The sequence below is a fragment of the Homo sapiens genome, chromosome 8 (assembly GCF_000001405.40).
Source record: "Homo sapiens chromosome 8, GRCh38.p14 Primary Assembly".
Classification (NCBI taxonomy): Eukaryota; Metazoa; Chordata; class Mammalia; order Primates; family Hominidae; genus Homo; species Homo sapiens.
The window spans coordinates 130841118-130859931 of record NC_000008.11 but is presented as its reverse complement, the minus strand read 5'-3'; the positions used below and the strand labels follow the sequence as shown (position 1 = coordinate 130859931).

The 18814-nt window shown below is 41.5% G+C and overlaps 1 protein-coding gene and 1 long non-coding RNA gene across 6 annotated transcripts in view; one reads left to right on the top strand and one right to left on the bottom strand.

The window, feature by feature from the left end:
* The window catches only part of LOC105375762 (uncharacterized), a 34014-nt gene extending 24219 nt beyond the window's left edge, over window positions 1–9795 (bottom strand). Inside the window, exons 1-2 of one of the 2 annotated variants that reach the window (XR_928658.2) lie at window positions 9768–9795; window positions 8853–8968 (exon numbers count right to left, since the gene is read on the bottom strand). This is a non-coding gene — a long non-coding RNA (uncharacterized LOC105375762). Of the gene's footprint in view, window positions 1–8852; window positions 8969–9689 lie in introns of both variants that reach the window. The other variant, XR_928656.3, reaches the window with a different exon arrangement.
* The window catches only part of ADCY8 (adenylate cyclase 8), a 260609-nt gene that overhangs the window by 180978 nt on the left and 60817 nt on the right, over window positions 1–18814 (top strand). For 2 of the 4 annotated variants that reach the window (XM_006716501.4, NM_001115.3), the window contains 2 exons: window positions 10129–10330; window positions 12419–12508. In XM_006716501.4, coding sequence (XP_006716564.1) covers window positions 10129–10330; window positions 12419–12508 — 292 coding nt within the window. The remainder of the gene's footprint in view (window positions 1–10128; window positions 10331–12418; window positions 12509–18814) is intronic. The other 2 variants (XM_017013006.2, XM_005250769.4) reach the window with 1 other exon arrangement.

Here is an 18814-nt window from a genome sequence, read left to right as displayed (position 1 = left end):
CTAAGTGAAAGAAACCGTCTGAAAGGCTTTATATATATTATTCCATTTATATAATGTTCTGGAAAAGACAAAACTATAGAAATGGTAAATAGATCGTTAGGTGAGAGGAGCTTGGGGAATGAGGGAAAGGAGAATAAAAGAGATGAAGTCCAGCATATTTTTTAGGGTAGTGCATTCAGTATACTGTAATGGTATATACCTGACACCATGCATTTATCAAAACTTATAAAACTTTACAGCACAGAGAATGAACTTTAATATATACAGGCTTTAAAACATTTTATTTAGGAGTTTAGGGGATCCCATGATGGAATCAGACTGTGACAAAAGAATCTAACTGTATTAAAAGTGTATGAAGCAACCTCCCTGAAGGGGATGTGGGGAGTAAAATGGTGTACTAAGTAGCTTTGAAAATGAGAGAAGTCTGTAGGATTAAAGGCAAGAGAAACTGCACTTAAGCACTGTGCTGTAGTTGATATAGGAATTTCCCATTGAGGCATGGGTTAAGAATTTGCAACACCTATATAGGTATACTGGAACTAAACAATTGTGTAAGTGGATGGCAGATGGTGGGAGTCAGTTTTCTCATTGTTGGAATGGAAGTTTACATGCAAATGAAGGGAGAAAGTTAGAAATATCCTGGTGGTAATGGATTAGAGTTGGAGACATCCATATGAACTCATGTATAGCTTAATATAGATAGAGATGGTTACATGTAGGAATATTTATAGATATGTTTATATGCACAGGTTAGAATGTATACATACATTTCCTTCCTCTGTCAGTGGAGAGGGCCTGGAAGCAATGACACCTCAGTGGTAATGAGCACATCTACCACTCACATCTTGGTTTCTAATGCCGATATCCAATAAAAGGAACCAGGGCTCCTTGGAGAACTGTCTGAGTCTAACAGTGAGACAGGAAATATACAAGATTAGCCTTGGCGATCTTGTAGGGCCAGAAAATAAGAATGTGCTAAAACATACATACATACACATGCATACACACACACACACACACACACACACACATATACATGATAATGGGAGTATTTCAAAGGGACACAGGAACCAACAAAAGAGCCCCCGAGGGCCAAAGCTGGAATAAATTGAGCAACAAAATAAACAATGTAATATTTATTTATAATCCACAATATAAAATAAATATCCACAAGTTCATACTAATATAAATTAATGATATGTCTCCCATGCAGAGAAAGTCTACATATTTTATGAAGATAATTCATCCTCAGTGAGGAGGAATTTAATTCCCCACTCCTTAAGTATGGGCAACAGCAAAAGTGACTTTCTTCCAAAGAGTAAACTATGTACAGGGGGCAAATATGGAGAAACCTCACAAGCACTACCTCAGCCAGGGGATAAAGATTAATACCAACAGTGATAAGTTATGTTAATGGGATCTAGTAAGTATGGCATATAACCTCTGTGGTCTTCCTCCCCAAACCCGTAATGTAATCATGAAGAAAATTTCAGACAAATCTCAATTGAGGGACAGTCTACAAAACACCTCACCAGTATTCCTCAAACCTGTCAAAGTCATGTAAAACAAGGGAAGTCTGAGAAAATGTCACAGCAAGGAGGCACCTAAGGAGACATAACAACTAAATGGAAGATGATATCCTGGACTGGAGAAACACCTATGGGGAGATTTAGAAAGAATGACCAACTCAGCATCCATGAGCATACCTCAGGGCTAGATTATGGTCTTGAAGTAACATATCTGTTTTTTAAAAAACAATTTTGGAGATATGGCTAATTTTAGGGCTGGAACAGGAAATGTGCTAGATGAGCCTAGAACATCTTGTCCTACAAGAAAGCAAGGATGCCATCAAACACTATTAGGATCATATCAAAAGAATGCAGGAGCCACATTATAGAAGTTCCCACTGTCCAAAGATGGAATAATTTGAGCTGCAATGGGGATAATTATTAAAATACTTATCAAAACCCAGCAAATATATTTAGCTTTATGAGTTTGTAATGATTTTTTTAAGTTTGTAGTGTTTAGTGGATGATAGGGAAATGGTTGATTATCTGGAAAACTTGTAAAAAAGTGAGAGAAACCAGTGGCTTTTCACCATAAGATCACTAAATAGTAAGTGAGGGAAATATCATAAAAGTATCCTAGCTATAACATTTTAAAGAAATAAAAGAATTAAAATATCATCATATTCCAACCCATAATGATTTAATGAATCTACAAATTGAGCATCAGAGGATGCTATCAACACAAACAAGAGAGACAGCCATACCTCCTGGTGGGGGCGCACACCACCTATGGTCTTGCCAATGGGATCAAACCTAAATTTGGTCAGGCCTTTGATTCCAGCTTCCAATTTTCAGGAATTATAGAGGACAGAGAATGTTGACTAAGTACACACCAGTAAAATCCAGACAGTGAGAAATGCTACGGGTCAGAGGCATGTGTTTTTCGATAAATACGTTGTAAGGAAGATAAAAGGATAAAGAGACAAGTTACAGATTTTAAGATTTAAAAGACAAATCAGATTTAATAAAAATGGATGAGACTAAACTGTAGTGTCTATAAAGAAAGGATAAAACTAATAAAGAAATGGAAATGGAAAGTGATTAATGGGGGTTGACAGAGAGGATTATCATTGGGACAGGGCTCATGGATGGGCTTTTGTTTTTATTTTTATTTTTATTTTATTATTACTTTAAGTTTTAGGGTACATGTGCACAATGTGCAGGTTAGTAACATGTGTATACATGTGCCATGCTGGTGTGCTGCACCCATTAACTCGTCATTTAGCATTAGGTATATCTCCTAATGCTATCCCTCCCCCCTCCCCCACCCCACAAATGGATGGGCTTTTGGTGTGCCCTGCAAAGTTCTATTTCAGGAATTGATGGTCATTACAAAGGCAGACACTTTATAAGAACTAATTAAGCTATACTTTTGTGTGGTTTTCTTTATTTATGCTTCGTTTTACCATTTTTAAAAAGTTACTAATGACTTTTGCCAAATGTGGGCTAGGAGTCCTCCCACCAACAGCCATTGGTGGTTATTATGTTCCAGACTTATTCCAAACACTAGGAATAAATCTCAAGACAAAAAAAAAAGATGACAAGAACAAAATCCCTGCCCTCCTGGACTGTATAATCTGGTGGAATGAGACTAAGACATAAGGAATATATATGTATCTGTCCAGGTGTATATACTATATATGTAGCTACTTATATCCTACGAAGGTAGACACATATGTAGATATGTATATGCTATGTATGTCGATATTTATGTGTTATCCAATTAATAAATCAGAAGAAGGGTACCAGAGAATACCAGGAAAGAATGAGTTTCTTGACTACCTAAGAGACAATGAGGACTAGGGTCCTGACCGAAGGCACCTCGGGGTGGCGAGCTGTGAGTGTTGGTGGGGCCTGGCAGGATTCAGCCAAACCTGCTGGGCTCCTCTAGTCACTCTTGTCAATGGGAAGGTGGTAGCCAAGAAGGGCCCGGCCGTGTCTGTTGCTTCCTCTGGACTCCTAGAGCTCAAGGTGTTAACATTCCTGGCAAACACTCAACAAACATCAGTGTGACAGTTTGTGCTGGATAGTGATGGGGATATACAGTCAGGGTCTCTGCCATCATAAAGCTGACCATCTAGTAGGGCTAAAAGACAATTAGCTGAACAGCTATCATATGGGGTGATGACTATTGTGATAGGAAAGGTGTAAGCTGGGATTCGATGTGTGGGAGTTGGGGTGAGGCAAAAGTAGTCCTTTTGCCTCTGGGGCAGGCTTCCCAGAGGAGATGACAGTGACAGCTCACCTGGCTCCTAAAGGAGCTCACCAGGTCATGGAAAAAGACTGAGAAGGATTAAGGGGAGGAAGGGCTGGAAATAGAGCATTCTGAAGGATAGGAGTTGTGAAGTTCATTGAGGCGTTGTGACTGGTTGGCAGAGGAGTCTTCATTAAAGCATTTTAATGAAAGAGATGATGTGATCAGATTCATGTTTAGAAGGATCATACTGAACGGGGATGATGGAGAGGTGGGAGTGAAATCTGGATTTGGGATGACCAATTAGGAGGCAACTGCAAATAAAAAATCTGGCACAAAATAATAAGGAGAAGAGAGTGGCAGAAGGGTGGACAGGAGAGGAAGAATTTTTAAGATATTTAGGGCAGAGAGTTGACGGTTCACAGTGACTGGCTGGATGTGGGGGATGAGAGAGATGGAGAAGACCAGGATGAGCCCGCGGATCTGGACTTGGCACTGGACAGGAGAAGGGGCCACTGTCCTCCACGAGAAGCGAGCCTCACACTTCCCAGCGGGCCTGGGCTGGATTTCTTTCTAGGTGGTGTGACGGGGTGGGGGAGGGGAGCAAGCCTTGATGCCCTGGTTCCTGGGGTTCAGGGGGAAGAGACCTGGACCCTCACCCAGCAGCTAGTCATAAGGAGTCTCCAACTCTAGAATTCAAGGTGAAGCCCATAACTGAAATACAGCCCACACCCCAACCTTACCTAGCGAGGAGAAAAATCCTGACAAGGAAGGAAACTGAACTCTGACCAGACAATCCATATGCTGTGGGAATTGGGTAGCCCATTTACCCCAGACACAGCAAAAGCTTTCTTTAATATGTGCTGGTTCCCTCTCCAACTCATTTTGTTTCTGTTTGATGCTTTGAAACTAAACAGATGGTGGGTGCTTTTCACTCGCATTTCTTCTGTCATGGATTTTTTTTGGCAGATGAGGGAGTTTCTACTCATATGACCACAGCTAATTCTTAGCCCCCAAAGCAAAAATTAATGGACTCTGGAAAAAAAAAAAAAGAGAGAGAGAGAGAGAGACAGTGCTTACCCAGCTCTTTCCTTTAATTTCCACATGCCCACAGATGTTCCTCTCCAAGAAGGGTAAACGAAGGAAAGACTAGAAAATACTTCTTGGGACTATAGAACAATGTATCTGGTCTGCATGTGATGATGAGAAAGAGACAAAGACACAGAAAGAGAGAGGGGGAGGCAGAAAGGGGGAAAAGAAAAGGGGGAGGGAGGGAGGGAAAGGGAAAAGAAAGAGAGGTAGTGACCTACAGAGGGAGGGAGGGAAGGAAGGGAGGGAGGGAGGGAGGGAGGGAGGGAGGGAGGGACGGAGGGAAAGAGGCAGGCACTGGGTCTTATTATTTTCTGTGCATTATACTACCTATATGTATGTATTTAACCTCTCTGAAACCTCTGTTTCCTCATCTGTAAAATGGGAATGATAATGCCCACTTGCCAAGACTGCAGTAAAAATTAAATTAACCAAGCCTATTTCTGGCAAATTCCCTTTTGGAGTCACAGTATTTTCATCTGTTGAAAGGGCTTAGAATATCTTTCTTCAGGGTTGCTGCAAGGATCAAAGACACTATTGTACCCATAGAGTCTGTAGATTCTAAAGTGTTGTCCAGGTGCCATCTTTCAGTATAATCTGAGTTTTTGTTTCCTATTGCACCACAAGCTGCTATAGGCTGTTCACTCATCCCCACTGATTCCTGCCTTCCCAGCAAATGTCAAATCACAATATCAATACAAACCATTTTAAAGACAGACTGCAGAGAATAATTAGGACTTAATGTCTAGAAATGATTTGGATAGAGCTTTGCAAAACTAGTCATTCTTTTTGAGACTCGATTTCAGAAATGAAAGGTTTCCTTGCCTCTTATGTGCACCAACAATGCAAAAGCAAATTCAGAACCCCTGGATGCCTGAGTGGCTCTATAATTAGATAAAATGTACAATCTGATGTTATAATGTTTACATGTAAAGAAATAAATGAATGCTGAGGAACTGCTGCAGAGATTTCCAGAGAAATGTAATACACAGTGTCAGTACTTTTGCTTAAAAAGCTAATCTTGTAATTAATACCCTTGCCATAGAACTTTAAAGTGCTTTTGGTTTCCTGAATTTCATGATGAATAGAGAAAGAGAACTAACATTTCTTTAAATTTTTATTATACTACTTTATGACTTTGTTTAATCTCAGAGCCTCCTTTAAAAGGTAGGCTTAAAAAATCCCTGTTTTACAGATTAAAAAGTAATTCTCAGAGGAATCAATTACCTTGCCCATGACCACACTACTAGTTATGCTTCAGAACTACAGGTTCAAACATATAAGACTTTGCTCTTGCCACTGGACCACATGGCCTGTCTTTCACCTCCCTTTCCCTTTTACAGCAAACCCAGAAGAAAGCCATTTAAAACTGGGTCAGGGACTCAGGTGAGTTCTGTGTGCAAATCCTCCCACACAGCCCTATAGATACCCTGATGAACTCCCCGCCATGCCAAAGATTACACATAAGTTCAATCGCTAAATGAGAAAAAAAAAAAAAAAAAACATCAATTTTACAAATTTCCAAACAATTGCCCATTTAGCCTATGCAAAACTGTGATAAAAGCTGGAATACAGAATGTGGCTTAAGTCAAGAGACCACATGGCCTCCATCCTGAATCTCTTCTCTGCTGGCCCTCATATCCCACAGTTAAACTCTGGTGTGAGATCCTACCACTATGATGCTGCAAAAGATTAAACCAACGCACTCCACCAGTGTCAAAGGTGAATGAGGCAGACCTGAGACGGTGCCATCTGTGGCCAGAGCCAGGGTTAAGCCAACCTGGGCTTTCTTCCTTAAAGGCAGAGATGCCCTGGCCAAAGAGAAGAGATGGCCAGCCCTCCTCCCATAGGGTAGATCAAGGCTCTGGCTTCCCTGTCATCTCAGTGGATCGAAGAGGAGGAGAATATAAGTGTCTGAACTGTGCATATATACTGACCTTTAACAATGGCCCTGCCCTCCAAGGAAAATGAGGTCCACTGAGCACCCCCGATAGTTTCTGGATTAGCCCTTCCTCCTTCCTTGGAGAGATATAGTGAGCAGGCAGGGAGATAGTCTGGGCATGTAGGTGGAAGTCTTCTTCCCTGTGAAGGCTGCTGAGGGGAGGAGCAGAGTCTTCTCTTCCCAGAAAAAGCATAAGTCAATGAATACTTATTGAGCACCTTCTGTATACTCAGCCCTATGCCAGGTGTCATGGAAGAATCCAAAGGAAAGCTGAGCCTTGCAGGAATAACAGGACACACCATGTTAAGTGCCCATAAGGCAGAAAGTGCATAGCACTGGCGACAGACTGCACATAGTTCAGCATTGTCCAGACCATGGGGTGCAGAAGGGTGAGGGAGGAAAAAAAAAAGGCAGGAGAGAGAGCCAAGAGCAGACACTCAAGGCCCTGTATGCCATGTGGAGGTCCACAGGCAGTGGTGGCCATGTAAGAATTTGAGGCTCCAACTCAGCGTCTTTCAAAGCTGCCTTTCCCTGGTTTGCTTCTGTCTCACACTTTGAAAAGAGACATTTTTATACTCGTTGGTTTCCTCATGTGAATGAGCCACATGAGCCTTGCAATTGGCCCCCTCTCTCATGGGACTTCCTGACAAAGCGATCCGCCTGCATTCTCTTTCATTTATCTCCCCCTGGTGCCCAGAAATAATGGTGTGTTGTCAGGGAGTGTTTTTCCAGCCTGTTTGGAGGGAAGTTTCCCATCTGCCTAGAGCCCTCTGGGAACTCACTGATGCACCAACCTTCTGTTCTTATATAGAACTCCTACAGAGATTTCTTGTCAAGGTGATCCATAAAATCAAAACTTTGCTAGTCAAAAACAAACAAAAAAAACCTCTACCAACAATAGCTGAGGCTGTGGGAGGAGTCACTTTCCAGCCTTAAAGTAGCCTCATCATGCAGAGGAAATTGACATTCTTGGTTACTCTTTCCTTGTGAATTTCTTATCCCCCCTGCTGCCATGATGCCATGCACTCCTGCTCTCCTGCTTATCTAACCACACTTCATAAACTCCCTTTGCTGTCTTCTCTTCTTCCAGCCCATTAGCATCCCCCACAGCTCATCTTGGGTCCTCTTGATTCTTGCTGTACACACTATCCTTGGGCAAATGCTTCCATTCCTTGATCTCAATCACCACCTATTCCCTCCAGCCTCAGAGTTCCTCAATTGTCCCTCACTGCCTGGACATCTAGATATCTGTAACTGAATGATCTACAAGTACCAAACATGCATTGTGTCCAAAATCAACTTTATCAACTTATCTCCTGTACAGACTAGCTTCTTTTCCTGCATTTACCAGTTACAATAAAAAACATTAATGTCATCGTTAATGACTTCCCTCTCTCAAATACCCTCTACACATACATACAAAACACAGATTAATATACCTCCACATCTTTCCCTGCACCCCCCAATTATCATACTGTTCCCCTGTGTTCCTCCCTCATTAACTCATGCCTTAACTATTTAACTCTTCTGAACACGTTTCCTCTTCACTTCATCCTCCACCTCCCACCACAGTTGTCTTTCAAACACGCAGATCTGATTACTTCCTTCTGCACATTGCCTACAGGACAAAGCTCCTGAGCACAGCCACACTGCCTGGGTTACTGGGAAACTCTGAAGACACTGGTCACTCCCATTCTTCTGATGTTTTGCTCATGCTCCCCACTCTTTCCTACCTGCAAGCCTTCTCTTTAACCTTCACAGCCTAACCCAATGTCACCTCTTTTATGAAGCCTCCCTTGATTCCCTTTCCTATTTTTCAGTTGATGTTTGTTTAGAACTCTTTATAGATCCCGGAATATTATATAATAGTTCATCATTTGCATGTTTATATTCCTCTCTCAATTATAATCACCTAGATGAGGAAGATGTGTCTTTGGCCCCAGTACCCTGATGCCTGCCACTGTATACCTGGGAAGAAGACTTGTTGAATAAATAAATATTATGATGAAACCATAAAAGCAAAAAAGATGATTGCAAACATGGGAGATCTATTACTCACCAAAGTGATTAGAATATCAGAACGGTATAACAGAGTGGACTTTAAATTCTGGCTCTAACACTGACCAACTGTATGATGCCTGGGAAGTTTCTTCCCTCTGAGCCTTGAATCTTCATCTGGAAAAAAAGAGATAAAAAGACCTCTTTGGTTCATTCTAAGGAATGGAAATTAGATATTATATATAAAATGCTCAGCATAGTGGCTAACACATAATCAGATCTCGATACATTATTTATACTAGTGTTATTAATAATACATAAGAAGTTTAAGGAGGAGGATAGTAAGAGATGGTGTTAGGAAAAGAAGGTGAGTTCAACTTTATTTGCTGAACACACATTTATTTAGCACTGGCCAATGGAAGATATTAATGCCAGATGAATAAACCTCAATTTATAGAAAAAGGAGCAGATATAAAATTTCCCTCCACTTCTATCAAGGTACCCTTTAACACCTGCATCAGTTTGCTGCCTGAAATAGAGATGGAAAAATTAGAGCTGCCAGTGTAGAACATGAATGGCTACACAGAGTTGAGAACAAAGAATTAATTCCCAAGGAGAAGCAGATTGCATGGTGATAAATAGGTTGATAGGGGAGACAGGAGTTAAAGATGCCTCCAGAGATGGAGTTTTAGATCACAGACTGACTAAGCATCCTGACACCGAGCACAGGTGTCCAACTGACACAGGCTACCATGGGACAGAGTTTTGATGAGAGTTTGAAACTCGAGATGTAAACTCGAGAGTGATGCTGATGCCTTGGACAAGGATGAGTTCTCCTTACCCATGTCTCAAATAACTTATGGTATAGTCCATGAAAACCACAAAACCAGGAACCAACCTGAGCAACTTAAAACCAATGCCAAATCCAGTTCTTGGTATCAGGATAGGTGGAGGGGGAAATCTTCATAAAACCCACCTTGAAGGGAAAAGGGTATGTGGGTTCATCCCACAGCCAGAGTGTTGATATCAAACTAGAGTGGTGTGTTGCCATGACAGCAATTGCCTAGTGACAAAAATTAATAAGAGGGAAAAAATGGGCAGGAGCAATAAATCAAGCCAAATATTCTGTTTTTTTGCAAAGTTTCTCAATAGAGAGAGTGCTCTAGGGATGCATGTAATTTTTAAAAATCTCTCCTGCTAATAACCTTTTTCTTGGACAAACAGAACTTTCAAAGAAGTATCCGATGCAAGGGATGGGAAAGGAAGACCAGGAATAGAATTTCAGTGTTGCTCAGACAATTGATGCCAATGACCCAACATTCTGTGTTTCCCTGCAGAGTGATGCCAATGACCATCCAGTTCTCCATTCTGATTATGCTGCACTCGGCTCTGGTCCTCATCACCACAGCAGAGGATTATAAATGTTTGCCCCTCATCCTCCGGAAAACTTGCTGTTGGATTAATGAGACCTATTTGGCCCGGAACGTCATCATCTTTGCATCCATTTTGATTAATTTCCTGGGTGCCATCTTAAATATCGTAAGCATCCCACATCCACCAACCCTCTGGTGTCTAGTGTGCAGTTGAGCATGAAGTTTATGGAGCCTGCAGCTTCCTGCATTACCCTTCCTTGGTACCAGTTACCTTTATGTGCCTGGTCCAGCCCCAAGCTTAGGGACAGATAACAAAGATGTGGCTACTGCCAAAACTGTGCATTTTACTGTTGGAAAACTGTCTATTTCCCAGTGGGATAGGTTATTTTCTCCAAAGGAGTTCCAAAAGCCCTTCAATTTCCATATTGTCAGTAGCCAATTACATCATAAATAAGAGTTACCATGTATCAAGTACCAGTACCTACCTGCTATGTGCCATGCACTGAAGGAGGACCTTTACATATTTTTCATATTTAATCCTCACATAAACCCCGTGAGGTAAGTTTAATTATCCCCACTTTATGGCTGAGGAAACTGAGGCTCAGAGACATGAAATAACTTGATAATAAGGTCTGTCTGACTCCATGACCCACGCCCCTCTAATATGCTAAATTGTATCTCTGGGAGTGGGAGTGGGGTGGGGGAAATGGAAATGAAATAGCTGCCATTTATTGAGCACCTACTATGTGCTACAGGTAGGTATTATTGTCCCCATTTAATGGATGAGGAAACTGCATTTCAGGAAAGCTGAGTATCTCACCTATACTTTCTAAAAGTTTGTATTTCACGTGACACATAGAACTCAGATGAATTTCCAACTGCCATGATATTTATCACTGTTTAATTTGCTGACCCACATTGTCATGGTTTCATTTTTTCTCAAGAATTGTACCATGGTAGCTATAGGTATTTTCTGTGCTTTTACAAGTAGTCTGTGTTGTCCATGACTCAGGCAGCTAGATTTTTGAGGTGATTTGTTTGGTTCCAGGTCTTAAACTTGGCTTGTTGAGAGAGGCTAGTTGAGGCATTGTCATGTGGTTGAATCCATCACTGTGCCCTTTGGGCCTGAGGGAGGGTCCCCAAGTGTGCAGGGACCCAAGCTATAGACTCCCACAATTGTTGGCCTGTGACTTGGAGCCCTAGACTGCCTGAAATCACTGTCCAATTTGGCCCAGTAATTACCTTACTTAAGTTCTGTGGTTGTCCTTCTAGTGAAGGCTCTGTGGATAAAGGAAAAGAGGAAAAGGAAAATTATCATCTAATTTAGTTCATCATCTAATGAATATTTTATAGATTATGATAACTGAAATGGAAGTACATGGGATCAATTGATCACAGGCTGCAGAGAAGCAGCCAGGACCTTAAATTAAGTCTTGATAACAAATTAGATATTTCTGGGGTGCAGAATTTGTAAGTAAGCCCAATGACTGTAGGTCAGGGTTACCTCTGAGGCCAACTGTGCCTCAGTGAGTAGTGTGGTAGGAAGATCAGAGGCTTTGGAGTCAGATAGACCTGTGTTCAAATCTCAGATCCACCAGTCACCAGCTCAGTGACACTGGACAAGTTACTTTACTTCTCAGAGTTTCGTATTTTTCAATTGTAAAATGGGGATTAAAAATAGCAGCTACATCACAAGGTGGTTGTGAGGCTTTTTTGTACAAAGTGTCTGGCACAGAGGAGGCATTTGGCCAATGGTAGTTATTCTTTTCCTAATACCACAAAATCTCCTGCAGCAACTTCTGTCCTAGGAAATGCCCATCACCCCAGTGCTAAGAGTCTTTCTGGAAAATGTACCCCTTCAGATTCTTCAAGTCCTCCCAGCTGTTGATCTGGAGACAGGCTATGAGTTTACCCAAGACCTCTTCTCCTGCCATCTGGCTTTCTCTTCTGAGCTCCACAAGCACACTCCAGTGACCTTAAATGATGGGGCCAACAGAGCAGTCTAAACTTAGTTTCATGACTGGCTTACAAAAGGTCTTTCTGAGCAAGCACTTGTTTTTTAAATAAAAGAAATCAAAGCTGGCACTTTGGCACTTCCATTCTGACTTCAAGTCCCCTCTAGGGTTCAGTCTACCCAGGCTCGTGCTGAAGCCCAGCCACTGATAGCACACTGCTCCATTTCCAGCACTCACACTGACTTTGTTGTTCCTGTTTTTGTTTTTGTTGTTCTTTTTTTTTTTTTTTTAATCCGCAGCTGTGGTGTGATTTTGACAAGTCGATACCCTTGAAGAACCTGACTTTCAATTCCTCAGCTGTGTTTACAGATATCTGCTCCTACCCAGAGGTATTTATTTATGAGCTCCCCTTGGTGAGAGTTGGACATAGATATATCTCTACCAGCTCCAAATAAACAAGACTGGCTGAAGGGCCATAGAAAATACTCAAGAGGCCTGTTTTCCTTCTTCTGCCTCTTCTTCTTTCCTTTCTTCTTCTTTCCCTTTTCTGCCTTTCCTTCTCCCCTTATATTTTCTGTTTCCCAGTCCTCTTTCCTGTCCCCTCCTCTGCCTCTTTTTCATCTTCACCCCTTCCTCATTTCTTTCTCCCTCTTTCTCTTCCTTTTCTTCCTTTTCACCTTTCCTTCTATCCATTTTCCATTTGCCCTTATCTCTTCCTTCTCTATGCATTTCTCCTAGCTTATTTGTAAAATCCTGTAGCAGAATGCACTGTTATCTCTATTAGCAGGCAGAGTTCTTTCTCAAACAGTATTTGCTGCAGAAGGAAAGAGGGAGGGAGGGAGGGAATTAAGGAACAAAGGAAGGAAGGAAGGAGAAGGAAGGAAGGAAGGAAGGAAGGAAGGAAGGAAGGAAGGAAGGAAGGAAAGGGAAGGGAAGGGAAGGGAAGGGAGGGGAGGGGAGGAAGGAAGGAAGGGGAGGGGAGGGAAGGAAGGAAAGGGAGGGGAGGGAAGGAAGGAAGGAGAAGGAAGGAAGGAGAAGGAAGGAAGGGGAAGGAAGGACAGAAGGTAGGAAGGGGAAGGAAGGAAGGAAGGGGAAGGAAGGACGGAAGGTAGTAAGGGGAAGAAAGGAAGGGGAAGGAAAGAAAGAAGGAAGGAAGGGGAAGGAAGGAGGGAAGGAAGGAGAAGGAAGGAAGGAAAAGGAAGGAAGGGAGGGAGGAAGGAAGGGAGGGAGGGGAAGAAGGGGAAGGAAGGAAGGAATGAAGGAATGAAGGAAGGAAGGAAGGGAGGGAGGGAGGGAGAGAGGGAAGAAGGAAGAGAGGGAGGAAGGGAATTACAAAGGCAGAAAATTAGAACTAAACTTAACTGATACAAAGAGTGCCAGAAGCACCATGTGTTCTGTAGGCATCCCAACAGGCCACCTATGATCATAATATGTGTATCTTACTCTATGTTTACCACAGAGCCAGTGGTCTGTTTCTGGGCCTTGGGGTCAGCCTATGGGGTCTGTTATTCACAACCCAGAACTTTACATATTAGGGTAGACATTCTGGGTCATAAAGTAGAACAGTTAACATGTCCCAGCAGACCCCAGCCAACCCCATACCTAGGACTCTGGGTAGATTCTTGTTCTCTAAGAGGCTGCCACACTCAGAAGGCCCTCCAACATATGAATGGAGAAAAGGCTCCCTGTAGTCTCTTCTAGGCCTAAGAATTGGTCCCAGAAACATTCCAACAAGGAGACCAAGCCTCCTCTCCGTCCGTCCATTTGCATAGAGCACCTGCTTGATATGCATAACATCATCAAATCCTTCAGATGTCTGGGGTAGAGGCTATTACTGTCTCCGTCTTATAGATAATAAAACTAGAGCTCAGAAAGCAGCTTGCTCAGTGCTGGTTAGGGCCACACCTGCCTGATCTTATTTCTTCCTCACTTCTTTCCCTCCCTTCTTCTTTCTATCCTTCCTTCCTTCTTTTATTAATTCAATTATCAAGGCTTGATACTATAATTTGAACCATATCTACCTTATTCTTTATCTTCCCTGGTCCCTAGAGGAGAAAGTAGACTCTACTAATGGATGTGCAGGACAGGATGGGACTAGGTCCCATTTAGGAGCTGCATGGGCCAGACCATGTGCCCTGGGACTCCCTTCTACCTAGGAATGAGTGGAGTCCCAGCTTAGTGTACTCTGTGGGACAATGGCTCCCTGAGAAATTCTTGGTTTGAGGGGCTTAGGGAATGTCTCAACTTTTGGAGAGAGTAAGTGGCCCAGAATTGGATGGTCAGAGCTAGGCGAAAGCTGGTTTTCGTTTCCAATCAAGCCCCCTCACTTGCTAGAAGTGGAACCTTGAATCAGTTCTTACCCTCTCTGGACCTCAGTTTCCTCATCTGTAAAATGAGAAAATTAATACCTTCTTTACATGGCTACTGTGGAGTTAAACAATGTGTTCTCATGGTGCCTGCCTAGATGGGTTAGCAAATATTTAGCTCTTCACATGGCATCTGACATGAAGCAGCTATTTATCTGTGCCCACACATCACTTTGAATTAATATTGTATACCCTTGACCTAACACCTGAACCCCCAAACACAAGACCACAGCACTCAGAGATTAGCCAAATCCTAAGAAAGTGGTGGGTAAGATTTTTGATCACACAGCTTTGTTTCAGTGCCTCAGTTTCCTTATCTGTAAAACGGGGATAAAAGTAGGGCCTTCCTTATTGGTTAATTACAAGAATTAAGTGAATTAATCCATATAAAGTGTTTAGAAGCCACACCTGGCACAATGTATCTGCTCATTAAATGTCTGCTATGATTTATGTATTATTTTCAACAAAAGGGCTTTGAGCATGTAATGCCAATGTATGTTATCGTCAAACACCTGTACATACCCGAACCACTGTGCGTAATATACCCGTGTATGTTATGATACAACTCAACAACAGAAATGTTTAAAAGTAAGATAAAATGAATATGGATTGATGTTACCATTTTCTCCACAATGAAACGGTCATCTTGTTCAGGAGGTCAGCAAACTACAGCCACAGGCCAAATTCACCAGCTGCAACAACCACCTGATCTGACCCACCAGTTGACATTCTGATACATGTATGTATGTGTGTGTGCATATACGTGTGCATGTGTATGTGCGCACACATGCTTCACTGACTAGGCATTGCCAAACTAAAATGGATTAGATATTCAGACCTTCTGAAAGAGTTAATCCAACTCCCCAGCACTCATATACTCACAAGTATGTGTCCCCAAGCAAATCGCTTCATCTTTGTGATCCTCAGTTTCTTCAAATGTATACCTGACATTTCTGCCTCACCCTATGAGAAATAATATCCAGTCCAAAAACATGTTATCAAACTGGATGATGTAATACAAAAAATGAGGCTTTTACAATGTATGATATAAAGTATAACTTGGTTCTAAATTCGAAGCTTGTCAGATGCTAAAAAAGAGTGAAGATGCCAGGAATGAAAGTAAAGAAAGCTATATTCCAGTCATGGTTGGAGAGTAGTCAAGGAGAAAGAAAGGCACAGGTTTGTGAAATGAATGCAAATCACATGCACAAACCCAGAGTGTCATTATCTCAAACATCTGGATGTGGTTCTCAGGAGATTCGGTGGGAAGACCCTCACTTTAGAATTACGCCCCTTTATTATATGCTCTGGCACATCTGAATAAACAGTTCACTGTATCTGCAAGAGCAGTCAGAGCTTGCTATGGTTTTAAAGGGTCCTGAAGAGCCCATTTTTCCATAGAGATGTGATCATCTGTGTCTTGGCATGCTGGCATTTCCTTCCCTTTCTTCTCCATTTATTCAGGTCCTACCCAGCCTTCAAGCATCCCTTTTTCCATAATGTGGTTTGACAGGCCCAACTCCTTCAGGTCACTCTCCTTCCTGCCATCTCACATACCCTTATGGTGTCATCTTAGCATTCACACTCCATCCTTCCTACAGTTGATTTATTTATCTAGGACATCCTTTCCATCCTGTCAAATTTATTGACGTAAGGAGTGAAGATAATATTGTATAGCTATTAAAGATTGACTAAAGGGCCCAGCACAGGACAAGGCCCACAATCTATGTTTTAAAATATTTAAAGAGAAAGGAAGCATTCTTCCAATAGACTAACAGGAACAAGATTTACCTTTCCATCTGAAATAACTAAAAACAAACAAAATATATGAAGCAATAGTTTTCAAGGCACTGGGCATCAGTCAGTAAAGGACAATAATCCTGAAAGACAGGAAGCAAGTGATTGCCTGAGCTTTATTATTGCTTTAAGAGAATTTTTAGACTATGGCTCAGGAAGAGGAAACCAAGGTGGACTCCCTGATTTGAGAATACTAAGCTGAGAGTCCTGGGAGACCAAGGTGGCTACAGTCTGCAGAACATACTACTCTGGAGAGTTGCATAGAGAGAAAAACCTAGAGATCTGAAAAGGGTTCAATCAGTGCATGCATGTGAGGAAACTGACATGGGAAAAGAACCATCTGGAAGGATCAGTACCTGGAACTCACACAGAGCTGAGAATAATTTTTGTTCCCACCAGTCAGACTGAGAAAGATTCATGGGGTAGTAGGTTAGAGTATTCAGAAAAGTCTTGCTTCAGCAGAGTAAAATCACTGTTTCTACATCATATGCTGCTCTGATCCTTCCTTTAAAATCTTAAAAGTTAGATCCAAAGAGATCAAACCTTTTAAAATAATTTAATATGTGTCCTAGAATAAATTTCAAGAATATGTATAGGAATACAAAAATATCTAGGATTTAACAAGGTAAATACACAATGTCTGGCACCCAATCAAAGATTACTGGCATCAAAAGGAGGAGGAAAATATGACTGATAATGAGGGAAAAAAATCAACCAAAGAAGACCAACTCAGATTTGACTGAGTATATTTGAATTAACTTTTTTTTTTTTTTTTTTTGAGACAGAGTGTCACTCTGTTGCTCAGGCTGAAATGCAGTGGTGCAATCTCGGCTCACTACAACATCCACTTCCCAGGTTCAAGCAATTCCTGTGCCTCCACCTCCCAAGTAGCTGGGACTACAGGCATGCACCAACACACCGAGCTAAGTTTTTTATTATTATTATTTTCAGTAGAGATGGGGTTGGCCAGTCTGGTCTCAAACTCCTGGCCACAAGTGACCCACCTGCCTGGGCCTCCCAAAGTGTTGGGATTATAGGCATGAGCCACTGCACCCAGCCAGGCAAATAATTGCTATAACTGTATTCATGATAGACAAATATTAGATAGTGCAGAAGAAAAAAAGTGAAACTGATAACATAGCAATATAAAGTATCCAAAATAAAACACAAAAATTAAAAAATAATAAAATAAAAGCAGTACTGGGGACAACTTCAAGCAGCATACTATATGTGTAATTGGAGTCCTAGCTGCTAACCTAAAAGAAAGACTAAGAGAAAGATGAGGAGATTGAAAAGCTATTTAAAGAAATGGTGGCATGAGTTTTTCCACATTTGTTGAAAACCATACATCCACAGGTTCAAAACCTCAATATAAACACACACACAGGCACACAAAGGCACATCATAATCAAATTACTCAAGCCATAATAAAGACAAAATCATAAAATGGGTGGGGGGAACATATTGCATAGTAAAAGACAATGATATGAATAACAGCAGATTTTTCAAAAATACAACCATGGAAAACCAGCATCTTGAATGAATCAAAGGACCACTAGGAGTGTACTAGAGCACCAACCACATACAAAATTTTCTTTTCCCCTAATTAACACAACCCAGTGAACACCCTGGAGAGTCAGACCAGCCATCTTCCCATCACCTTGTGGTGGTCCCCAGGTTTATGATGCCCTCCTTGCTCGACATTCTGCAGAGTCTAGGCTGGTCTCAGAAGAAGCAGAGCAGCTTCTGTCATTTGCCTGGACACACTTCACTGTGTTGCTTATGCCAAGAGCTACAGTTGCTAAGAATCAGATTTTGTGTAAAGCAATAAGTCCAGATGATTTCTTTAAACTATAGTGACTTTTGAAAATTGTCTGCTTGATTTCTTTTCTTCTTGTCTCATGAGTTCATGATGTTATGGGATTTTGGCAGCAACCAGATAGCTCCAGGGAGTCCAGTTTGTCTGACTTATGTGGGTAGATGCTCAATTCCCTCGTCAGTTATCATTGTCTAAAATAATTCTTCTTCCTCCTCTTCTAAGAGTAAATTGTGCATATATTGCCAAGGCAATTCATGGTGCATTGACAATGTCCTTCCAGCCTGGCACAGTTTTTGGTGTGTAGTGGGTTCTCAGTCAACAATTGTGGGAAAATGCATGATTTAGTTTGTAAACTGTTTGTTTCATGGAAACAGGTTCAGTTGTTGCTGCCCTTAACACCTTGTCATATCATGAGATTCCAATTTTTTCAGTACAGACATTGAAGAAATTGATCTCCCAAGCCAGAATATCTATCTGAGAGAAGAAAACCTTGTATATTCAGAAGAAGAAAAGTGTTACATATACTTCCTCTCTTCTTTAAAGTGGACCCAAGAATAATACCTGTCCTTGGGTCATTTAAGGAGTTAAATGAGATGAAACACATAAAGTCATTCAAAGACATTCACAGAATACGTGCCCAATAAATATTTAGGTTTAATTGTTACATCTACTTTCCACCAACTTAATCGCTGATTTACAGACATCCCCAACCC